Genomic DNA, 12,683 nt, shown 5'->3' on the forward strand with positions numbered 1-12,683 from the left:
GGGGGCGGGGAACAGCTGGTTGCCATGGCTCACACCTGTAATCCCAGCACTTTGGGAGGCTGAGGTGGGAGGATTGCTTGAACCCAGGAGCTCGTGACCAGCCTGGGTGACATAGTAAGACCCCATCCGTACAAAAAGTTTTTAAAAATTACCTGAGCATGATGGCATGCAACTATGGTCCTCACTACTGACCTGAGGCTGAGGAGGGAAGACAGCTTTATAGCCCCAAAGGGTTGGATTTTATTTTGTATGAACTAGACCCTATCAATAATGGATTATGATACTATATGGTCAGATTAAACACTAACCTCTAAGATCTAATTCAGAAAATAGCTTGAGTACATGAGGACTGAGCATCTCAGCTCGAATGCCATGATCGCACCACTGCACTCCAGCCTGGGCGACACAGCAAGACCCTGCCTCAAAAACATAAAATAAAAATAAATAAAAAATAATTAGAAAGAACATTTAAATGCATTTGAAAGAGACAAGTATAAAATAATTTGATTGAGTAGTATAATAATCATATATTTAAGTTAGGTCCACAAAACTCAGAAAGATGATTGGTTAGTCTTCAGAATTGGGTCACAAACTAATACTTATTACACAAGAAATGCAACTTTGAGCATAGCCTTTGGGAAGCTAAGGCGACTCTATTAAAGATGACAGCAAGGATTTATGAGAAAATGAGTAGGAAGACAGAAAAGAGAAAAGTAGCAGATTCTTATGATAGTGTTATTTTAAAATATTAATATATTTCAAGTATCTGAATTCATAATTTTAAATAATTTTTGAAGCAATAACTATTTAGGAATCATAATTGACTTCAAATCCAGTGGCTTCCACTCATAGTCTTTTTTTCTTCTTTTATTGCTCCAGGGTGAATGACTTATAATCATTGTGGCCAATATTTGTACAGAGTGTCAGCTAGAAATTTTCTTTACATCATTTACACTTTTAGTTGATTCAAATCTAAGCTTTTAGTAGCTGATATCATTATCAGAACATGTTTAATTAATTCATTATGCCCACTGGTTGCTAAACTGTAATAAGGGAGATGAACTCTAATAGTAATAATATACTAAAGATCAAAAAGATAACACCTGCTCCTTTTGAAACTATAGCTTATGAACTTCAGAATGGAGCCTCGTGTGAATGCCTTGCTCCTACTTCCAACAGAAAGTTGCATGATGTCTCAGATAAACCAAAGAAAAGACAGAGTTCCGGTGGTGCCTGGAATTTCAAAATAGGGTTTATATACAACAAATTTTAGATTTAAATTACTCAGAGGGTTAACAATTCTTTTTTCACAAACACCCTTACTTTAGCAGGAGTAGGTGTTTCATATTGAACATGATATTTGAAAGCTGAGAACTCTTTTTCAGGAGACTTCCTTGTCATCCAAGGAAGAATATGTTTGGTATAGTTTCATATATTGTATTTACATTAGGCAGTTTCTATCATAGCAACAGGCTATTAAATATTTATATCAAGCAATTAGAATCTCATTTAAAATAACAAATGTTCTTGAATATTACCAAAACAAAAATCTTTTCTTTGAAATTTTAACATACAATGCAGATGAATTTTCTCCTTCCTTTAGATAATGATGGTCCCTTTATACTTACTATATAATTGTCCCATATAAATGTTCTGTAATTAATGGCACAAGGCAAGTAAAGCATACTTTCAAACATGGAAATATTTTCTTACATACTTCATTCCTGCTTCCCTCATGCTCCCTTCTCACATACTGCCCTCCATACATAACATGTATTAAGTGCATATGACAGTAACATTCAGCTCTTTATCAGCTCTTCTAGGTGGATAGATTAAAGTTAATGTGATGATCTAGTGCTAAGGTCATTGAGTCACCCAATAAAGGTGAATTTTTCATGTTTATCAACATATTATTTAATAATAGCAAGGACAACTTTTTGCATATTATTTTTAAAAATGCTTATAAGAGGGCATTTTACTTTAAATTATTAATTCTTTAACCAATCTGTAATTAATGTCTTAAACCAGATGACTGAACCCAAAGGTTTTAAAAAAGCAAACCACAGTGAATATGTAGCATGAAATTATAGTAAAATATCAGCATGCTAGTGATTAAACGAAACCTAAATCAGAGCACTTTCCTACATCACTATAGTCATATTGAATAGTAACTATATAAAATGAGAAATTGTCTACATCATATGAATACTATTAATGACAAGCCTTTTTTTATTAAAATGGCAAGAATACAAATAGTTTATATCAGTAAAATACAGTAGCATTCAGGCTCTAATATGAACATTACATCAAAGCCTATGGATAGATAAGGTAAGAGATTTAGGAAATTGGGGGAGGAAGGAAACATCACTTATCTTATTACTCCAGATTACAGACAGCTGCCACAGACAATAAAATAAAATCGCAATTAAGTTGATTGCAGTACTTGAAAGAAAACTTATTAAAAATAAAGATTTTTAATAAAATCTTACATTCTTGACAGATATACCATCACCTACCTTTCTAAAAGCAGTAGTAGTAAACACAATTGTAGAATATGTATGTTACTTAGTCTTTGAGTGGTACAATACTATAGGTTTTAAAACCCTGACAACACTCCTACTTTCTGCTGCTTCAATATCAGATTATGGCATGGAATTCATGTAAGGTTGGTTCCAAAATGGAATATCAGATCCCAGACCAGTATCAGTAAGTTGTACCCATTTTGGCACAGATTTTCCAGCCATGAAAACACAAATCACAAAGAAAAAAAATTAACCAACCAATTATTTGAGATACCAAGAAAGGAAAGGAAAGCAGTTTTGTAAAAACACTTTTCCCTGTTTTAATAAGCTTCTTTATTTACTCCAGATAGTGAACAGAATAGTGTTCAATAGTGAAGTAAGCAGATTTTACACTCACTATCACTGCATGGATAGAAAGAGCCATATACATTTTTGTTTTTATAAGTCATCTCAGATCACTGCAACATGGCACATTAGAACAGAGATTCAGAGACACAAAGTTAATAAATACATTTAACATTGCCAAGCATTTAAAAGATAAATGCACTCATGTAGCAAAAAAAAAAAAATCAGTTTGTAACTTTGACCTTTCTCAGGGATGTGAAGAATCATTTCAGGTGTCAGAAATCTCTGTAGCAAAGATTCCTATAAGAGAAAAAATCATGCTGATTAATATTTTTAATTCAACTTTTTCAACATGTGTAACAAATTTATTCTAGTAAGTGTATCACTTCAGCAAAACGTAAGATTTTTCTTCATTTCTATGAAGGAAAACAAAAAACAATATATTTTTTCACTCAGTTTTCACAAACTGGTACATTCATACCATGGAATACTATTCAACAATAAATAGGAATGAACTATTGATACTTACAGCAGCTTGGATGGATCTCACGGGCATTATGCTGAATGAGAAAAGTTAATCTGAAAAGGTTATCTCAAAACGACAGAATTATAGAGATGGCGAAGAAAGTAGTGTTTCCCAGGAGACAGGGAGATGAAGAAGGTCAGGGCTACAACTATAAATAGGCATAATGAGGGAGTGAATTCTTTGGTGCTGATGGAACAACTTCACATCTTGATCATAGTTGTGCTGTGTGTGGATTGTAAAAAATATATATATACACATACAAACAAATGAGTGCATCTAAAAACTAGTGAAATCTGAATAAGGCCTTTAGACTAGTTAATCACACTGTGCTAATGTCAATATCCCAGTTTGTAAGATACTCCATTATAGAAGCTGGGGTAAGGATATGTGGGACTGTCTGTGGTATTTTTGCAACTACTTGTGAGACTATAATCATTCTATTTTTATTTTTTAATTACTATTTTTTGGAGACAGAGTCTCACTCTGTCACCCAGGCTGAAGTGCAGTGACATGATCTCAGCTTACTGCAACCTCTGCCCCCAGGTTCAAGCAAATCTCATGCCTCAGCCGCCTGAGTAGCTGGGATTACAGACATGCGCCACCACGCCCAGCTAATGTTTGTATTTTTAGTAGAGATGGGGTTTTGCCACGTTGGCCAGGCTGGTCTCAAACTCCTGGCCTCAAATGATCCTCCCACCTCAGCCTCCTAAAGTTCTGGGATTATAGTCAGGAGCCACTGTGTATGGCCAAGACTATAATCATTAAAAAAAAGTACCTGTGGTACATCTATACTATGGAATACTACTCAGCAGTTAAAAGGAATATGTGACAACTACTAATACATGCAACAACCTGGATAAATCTGAAATATATTATGCTGGGTGAAAGTCAACCACTAGAGGCTGCATACTGTATGATTCCATTTACATGACAACCTGGGAAAGGCAAAACTAGAGAGGCAGGAAACAGAGCAGTGGTTAGAGGAAAGTAAATTCAATGTGATGTCTGTTGTCTAGATAATAGGTGTCAGTCAAAGGACACCATTTGAAACTGAGAGTAAAAGATTAAGTGAGAAAAAAGGTGATTAAGGGCATTGTTAATCATATTAATAGAAAGGTAACAACTAAAATAAAATAAACTTTCATAAAAGCCAAAAGAAATTTGTTAAAAAGCAAAGAAGACTGATCAAATGAAGAAATACAACAAATATCACATAGTACAGAAAGTAATTATAACTATTGATGTGACATAACAGTCATATCAATAATGTAAAAGATTTTAACTCATCTATTTTATTTATACTGTTCTATTCTATTTTTGAGACAGGGTCTCATTCTGTTGCCCAGGCTAGAATGCAGTGGCATGATTATGGCTTACTGAAGCCATGACCTTCCAGGCTCAGTTGATCCTCTCACCTCAGCCTACCAAGTAGCTAGAAATACAGGCACGTGCCACCATATCTGGCTAATTTTTTTTGTGTGTGTATTTTTTGTAGAGATGGGGTTTCACCATTGCCCAGGCTGGTCTGTAACTCCTAGGCTCAAGCGATCTGTCTGCCTCAGTCTCCCAAAGTGCTAGGATTACACGTGTGAGCAACCACGCCCAGTGTAATTCACCTATTTTTTAAAAAGATTTTCAAAATGGCAGGGTGTGGTGGCTCATGCCTGTAATCCTAGCACTTTGGGAGGCTGAGGCGAGTGGATTACCTGAGGTCAGGAGTTTGAGACCAGCCTGGTCAACATGGTGAAACCCTGTCTCTACTAAAAATACAAAAACTAGGCCAGGTGTGGTGGCTCATGCCTGTAATCCCAGCACCTTGGGAGGCCAAGGCAGGTGGATCACCTGAGGTCAGGAGTTCGAGACCACCCTGCCCAACATGGCAAACCCCGTCTCTACTGAAAAAAAAAAAAAATGAGCTGGATGTAGTGATGGACACCTGTAATCTCACCTACTCAGGGAGGCTGAGGCAGGAGAATCACTTGAACCTGGGAGGTGGAGGTTGCAGGGAGCTGAGATCCTGCCATTGCACTCCAGTCTGGGGGACAAGAGTGAAACTCTGACTTAAAAAAAAAAAAAAAAAAGGGGATCGTTCCAAGATGGTCGAATAGGAAGAGCTGCAGTCCACAGCTCCCAGCGTAAGCGACACAGAAGATGGGTGATTTCTGCATTTCCAAGTGAGGTACCAGGTTCATCTCACTGGGACTTGTTGGACAGTGGGTGCAGCCCACAGAGTGTGAGCCAAAGCAGGGCAGGGCATCGCCTCACCTGGGAAGCGCAAGGGGTCGGGGAATTCCCTTTCCTAGTGCTCGGGACACTCCCACTCTACTACTGTGCTTTTCCAGTGGTCTTTGCAAACAGCACACCAGGAGATTATATCCCATGCATGGCTCGGTGGGTCCCACACCCATGGACCCTGCTTACTGCTAGCACAGCAGTCCGAGATCGAACTGCGAGGTGGCAGCAAGGCTGGGAGAGGGGCATCCACCATTGCTGAGGCTTGATTTGGTAAACAAGGCAGCCTGGAAGCTCGAACCGGGTGGAGCCCACCACAGCTCAATGAGGTCTGCCTATCTCTGTAGACTTCACCTCTGGGGACAGGGCATAGCTGAACAAAAGGCAGCAGAAACTTCTGCAGACTTAAACGTCCCTGTCTGACAGCTTTGAAGAGAGCAGTGGTTCTCCCAGCATGGAGTTTGAGATCTGAGAACGGACAGACTGCCTCCTCAAGTGAGTCCCTGACCCCCTAGTAGCCTAACTCAGGGACACCTCCCAGTAGGGGCAAACTGACACCTCATACAGCCAGGTGCCCCTCTGAGATGAAGCTTCCAGAGGAAGGATCAGGCAGCAATATTTGCTGTTCTGCAGCCTCCGCTGGTGATACCGAGGCAAACAGGATCTGGAGTGGACCTCCAGCAAACTCCAACAGACCTGCAGCTGAGGGTCCTGACTGTTAGAAGGAAAACTAACAAACAGAAAGGAATAGCATCAACATCAACAAAAAGGACACCCACACCAAAACCCCATCTGTAGGTCACCAACATCAAAGACCGAAGGTAGATTAAAACCACAAAGATGGGGAGAAACCAGAGCAGAAAAGCTGAAAATTCCAAAAATCAGAGTGTCTCTTCTCCTCCAAAGGAACACAGCTCCCCACCAGCAACAGAACAAAACTGGACAGAGAATGACTTTAACGAGTTGACAGAAGTAGACTTCAGAGGATCAGTAATAACAAACTTCTCCAAGCTAAAGGAGGACGTTTGAACCCATCGCAAAGAAGCTAAAAACCTTGGAAAAAGATTAGACGAATGGCTAACTAGAATAAACAGCATAGAGAAGACCTTAAATGACCTGACGGAGCTAAAAACCATGGCGCGAAAACTACATGACGCATGCACAAGCTTCAGTAGCCAATTCAATCAAGTGGAAGAAAAGGTATCAGTGATTGAAGATCAAATGAATGAAATGAAGCAAGAAGAGAAGTTTAGAGAAAAAAGAATAAAAAGAAACGAACAAAGCCTCCAAGAAATATGGGACTATGTGAAAAGACCATATCTACATCTGATTGGTGTACCTGAAAGTGACGGGGAGAATGGAACCAAGTTGGAAAACACTCTGCGGGATATTATCCAGGAGAACTTCCCCAATCTAGCAAGGCAGGCCGACATTCAAATTCAGGAAATACAGAGAACGCTACAAAGATACTCCTCGAGAAGAGCAACTCCAAGACACATAATTGTCAGATTCACCGAAGTTGAAATGAAGGGAAAATATTAAGGGCAGCCAGAAAGAAAGGTCCGGTTACCCACAAGGGGAAGCCCATCAGACTAACAGCAGATCTCTTGGCAGAAACTCCACAAGCCAGAAGACAGTGGGGGCCAATATTCAACATTCTTAAAGAAAAGAATTTTCAACCCAGAATTTCATATCCAGCCAAACTAAGCTTCGTAAGTGAAGGAGAAATAAAATACTTTACAGACAAACAGATGCTGAGAGATGTTGTCACCACCAGGCCTGCCCTAAAAGAGCTCCTGAAGGAAGCACTAAACATGGAAAGGAACAACTGGTACCAGCCACTGCAAAAACATGCCAAATTGTAAAGACCATCGAGGCTAAGAAGAAACTACATCAACTAACGAGCAAAATAACCAGCTAACAACATAATGACAGGATCAAATTCACACATAACAATATTAACCTTAAACGTAAATGGGCTAAATACTCCAATTAAAAGACACAGACTGGCAAATTGGATAAAGAGTCAAGACCCATCAGTGTGCTGTATTCAGGAGACCCACCTCACATGCAGAGACACACATAGGCTCAAAATAAAGGGATGGAGGAAGGTCTAACAAGCAAATGGAAAACAACAACAACAAAAAGCAGGGGTTACAATCCTAGTCTCTGATAAAACAAACTTTTTTTTTTTTTTTGAGAAAGAGTCTCACTCTGTCGCCCAGGCTGGAGTGCAGTGGTGCGATCTTGGCTCACTGCAACCTCCACCTCCCAGGTTCAAGCAATTCTCTGCCTCAGCCTTCTGAGTAGCTGAGATTATAGGCAAGTGCCACCATGCCCGGCTAATTTTTGTATTTTTAGTAGAGACAGGGTTTCACCATCTTGGCCAGGCTGGTCTTGAACTCCTGACCTCGTGATCCACCTGCCTCGGCCTCCCAAAGTGCTGGGATTATAGGCGTAAGCTACCGTGCCTGGCCTAAAACAGACTTTAAACCAACAAAGATCAAAAGAGACAAAGAAGGCCATTACATAATGGTAAAGGGATCAATTCAACAAGAAGAGCTAACTATCCTAAATATCTATGCACCCAATCAATACAGGAGCACCCAGATTCATAAAGCAAGTCCTTAGAGATGTACAAAGAGACTTAGACTCCCACAAAATAATAATGGGGGACTTTAACACCCCACTGTCAACATTAGACAGATCAACGAGAAAGAAACTTAACAAGGATATCCAGGACTTGAACTCAGCTCTGCACCAAGTGGACCTAATAGACATCTACAGAACTCTCCAACCCAAATAAAAAGAATATACATTCTTCTCAGCACCACATCACACTTATTCCAAAATTGACCACATAGTTGGAAGTAAAGCACTCCTTAGCAAATGTGAAAGAACATAAATTATAACAAACTGTCTCTCTGACCATAGTGCAATCAATCAAATTAGAACTCAGGATTAAGAAACTGACTCAGAACTGCACAACTACATGGAAAGTGAACAACCTGCTCCTGAATGACTGCTGGGTAAATAACGAGATGAAGGCAGAAAGATGTTCTTTGAAACTAATGAGAACAAAGACACAACATACCAGAATATCTGGGACACATTTAAAGCAGTGTGTAGAGGGAAATTTATAGCATTAAATGCCCACAAGAGAAAGCAGGAAAGATCTAAAATCGACACTTTAACATCACAATTAAAAGAACTATAGAAGCAAGAGCAAACACATTCAAAAGCTAGCAGAAGACAAATAACTAAGATCAGAGCAGAACTGAAGGAAATAGAGACATAAAAAACCCTTCAAAAAATCAATGAATCCAGGAGCTGGTTTTTTGAAAAGATCAACAAAATTGACACACCACTAGCAAGACTAATAAAGAAGAAAAGAGAGAAGAATCAAATAGATGCAATAAAAAATGATAAAGGGGATATCACCACTGATCCCACGGAAATGCAAACAACCATCAGAGAATACTTTAAACACCTCTATGCAAATAAACTAGAAAATCTAGAAGAAATGGATAAATTCCTGGACACATACACCCTCCCAAGACTAAACCAGGAAGAAGTTGAATCTCTGAATAGACCAATAACAGGCTCTGAAATTGAGGCAATAATTAATAGCTTACCAACCAAAAAAAGTCCAGGACTAGACAGATTCACAGCCGAATTCTACCAGAGGTACAAAGAGGAGCTGGTACCATTCCTTCTGAAACTATTCCAATCAATAGAAAAAGAGGGAATCCAGATGCAATAAAAAATGATAAAGGGGATGTCACCACCGATCTCACAGAAATACAAACTACCATCAGAGAATACTACAAACACCTCTACGCAAATAAACTAGAAAATCTAGAAGAAATGGATAAATTCCTCAACACATACACGCTCTCAAGACTAAACCAGGAAGAAGTTGAATCTCTGAATAGACCAATAACAGGCTCTGAAACTGTGGCAATAATAAATAGCTTACCAACCAAAAAAAGTCCAGAACCAGATGGATTCACAGCCGAATTCTACCAGAGGTACAAGAAGGAGCTGGTACCATTCCATCTGAAACTATTCCAATCAATAGAAAAAGAGGGAATCCTCCCTAACTCATTTTATGAGGCCAGCATCATCCTGATACCAAAGGCTGGCAGAGACACAACAAAAAAAGAGAATTTTAGACCAATATCCTTGATGAACACTGATGCAAAACTCCTCAATAAAATACTCACAAACCAAATCCAGCAGCACATCAAAAAGCTTATCCACCATCATCAAGTGGGCTTCATCCCTGGGATGCAAGGCTGGTTCAACATATGCAAATCAATAAATGTAATCCAGCATATAAACAGAACCAAAGACAAAAACCACATGATTATCTCAATAGAGGCAGAAAAGGCCTTTGACAAAATTCAACAACGCTTCATGCTAAAAACTCTCAATAAATTAGGTATTGATGGGACGTATCTCAAAATAATAAGAGCTACTTATGACAAACCCACAGCCAGTATCATACTGAATGGGCAAAAACTGGAAGCATTCCCTTGAAGACTGGCACAAGACAGGGATGCCCTCTCTCACCACTCTTATTCAACATTCTGTTGGAAGTGCTGACCAGGGCAATTAGGCAGGAGAAAGAAACAAAGGGTATTCAAATAGGAAAAGAGGAAGTCAAATTGGCCCTGTTTGCAGAAGACATGATTGTATATCTAGAAAACCCCATTGTCTCAGCCCAAAATCTCCTTAAGCTGATAGGCAACTTCAGCAAAGTCTCAGGATACAAAATCAATGTGCAAAAATCACAAGCATTCTTATACACCAATAACAGACAGACAGAGAGCCAAATCATGAGTGAACTCCCATTCACAACTGCTTCAAAGAGAATAAAATACCTAGGAATCCAACTTACAAGGGATATGAAGGACCTCTTCAAGGACAACTACAAACCACTGCTCAATGAAATAAAAGAGGATACAAACAAATGGAAGAACATTCCATGCTCATGGGTAGGAAGAATCAATATCGTGAAAATGGCCATACTGCCCAAGGTAATTTATAGATTTAATGCCATCCCCATCAAGCTACCAATGACTTTCTTCACAGAATTGGAAAAAACTACTTTAAAGTTCATATGGAACCAAAAAAGAGCCCGCATTGCCAAGGCAATCCTAAGTCAAAAGAACAAAGCTGGAGGCATCACGTTACCTGACTTCAAACTATACTACAAGGCTACAGTAACCAAAACAGCATGGTACTGGTACCAAAACAGAGATATAGATCAATGGAACAGAACAGAGCCCTCAGAAATAATGCCGCATATCTACAACCATCTGATCTTTGACAAACCTGACAAAAACAAGAAATGGGGAAAGGATTCCCTATTTAATAAATGATGCTGGGAAAACTGGCTAGCTGTATGTAGAAAGCTGAAACTGGATCCCTTCCTTACACCTTATACAAAAATTAATTCAAGATGGATTAAAGACTTACATGTTTGACCTAAAACCATAAAAACCTTAGAAGAAAACCTAGGCAATACCGTTCAGGACATAGGCATGGGCAAGGACTTCATGTCTAAAACACCAAAAGCAATGGCAACAAAAGCCAAAATTGACAAATGGGATCTAATTAAACTAAAGAGCTTCTGCACAGCAAAAGAAACTACCATCAGAGTGAACAGGCAACCAACAGAATGGGAGAATATTTTTGCAATCTACTCATCTGACAAAGGGCTAATATCCAGAATCTACAATGAACTCAAACGAATTTACAAGAAAAAAAACAAACAACCCCATCAAAAAGTGGGTGAAGGATATGAACAGATACTTCTCAAAAGAAGACATTTATGCAGCCAAAAGACACATGAAAAAATGCTCATCATCACTGGCCATCAGAGAAATGCAAATCAAAACCACAATGAGATACCATCTCACACCAGTTATAATGGCGATCATTAAAGAGTCAGGAAACAACAGGTGCTGGAGAGGATGTGGAGAAATAGGAACACTTTTACACGGTTGGTGGGACTGTAAACTAGTTCAACCATTGTGGAAGTCAGTGTGGCGATTCCTCAGGGATCTAGAACTAGAAATACCATTTGACCCAGCCATCCCATTACTGGGTATATACCCAAAGGATTATAAATCATGCTATTACAAAGACACATGCACACGTATGTTTATTGTGGCACTATTCACAATAGCAAAGACTTGGAACCAACACAAATGTCCATCAATGATAGACTGGATTAAGAAAACGTGGCATATATACACCATGGAATACTATGCAGCCATAAAAAATGAGCTTATGTCCTTTGTAGGGACATGGATGAAGCTGGAAACCATCATTCTGAGCAAACTATCACAATGACAGAAAACCAAACACCGCATGTTCTCACTCATAGGTGGGAATTGAACAATGAGAACATTTGGACACAGGAAGGGGAGCATCATACACTGGGGCCTGTTGTGGGGTGGGAGGAGGGGGGAGGGATAGCATTAGGAGGAATACCTAATGTAAATGACGAGTTAATGGGTGCAGCACAGCAACATGGCACATGTATACATATGTAACAAACCTGCACATTGTGCACATGCACCCTAGATCTTAAAGTATAAGAATAAATAATAAAAAAGAGTGTAAATTTCTCAAAAAAATTCACAATGACTCATAAAGCAAAACTCAAATCCATACTGTATATAAGAGATATATTTAAAATGCAGTTACTCAAAAAAGTTAAAAATATTTACCATGTAAATAGAAACAACAAGAAAATAGGAGTGGCAACACTAATACCAGACAAAGTAGAGTTCAGCAAAAGAAAAAAATCTAAATGCATCAGAAAAGGACACTTTATAAAAGCCACATTCCATGATGAAGAATGACAGTTCAGAATATCAATGCAACAAATAAAACAGCAAACCACCTATATAAAGCAAAATTTAGAGGATATGGAAAAAGCAATTAAAACATACTAATAATAGGAGACTTTAGAACACCACTCTTGATATAAAACAGGTCAGATGAACAAATATTAAACAGTGATATAAAAGATCTGCAAAAAA

At 38.7% G+C, this 12,683-nt stretch overlaps 1 protein-coding gene across 22 annotated transcripts in view; it reads right to left on the minus strand.

Annotated features, from left to right (window-relative positions):
• Positions 1–2,206: 2,206 nt before the first annotated feature.
• TSGA10 (testis specific 10) overlaps positions 2,207–12,683 on the minus strand; it is a 157,706-nt gene continuing 147,229 nt past the window's right edge. For all 22 annotated transcript variants that reach the window (NR_146001.2, XM_047445934.1, XM_047445931.1 and 19 more), the window contains one exon: positions 2,207–3,167. Coding sequence is in view for 21 of the 22 variants with exons in the window: in XM_047445934.1 (XP_047301890.1) it covers positions 3,143–3,167 (25 nt within the window). In the remaining variant the exon portion in view is untranslated. The remainder of the gene's footprint in view (positions 3,168–12,683) is intronic.

The sequence above is a fragment of the Homo sapiens genome, chromosome 2, assembly GCF_000001405.40.
Source record: "Homo sapiens chromosome 2, GRCh38.p14 Primary Assembly".
Taxonomy (NCBI): Eukaryota; Metazoa; Chordata; class Mammalia; order Primates; family Hominidae; genus Homo; species Homo sapiens.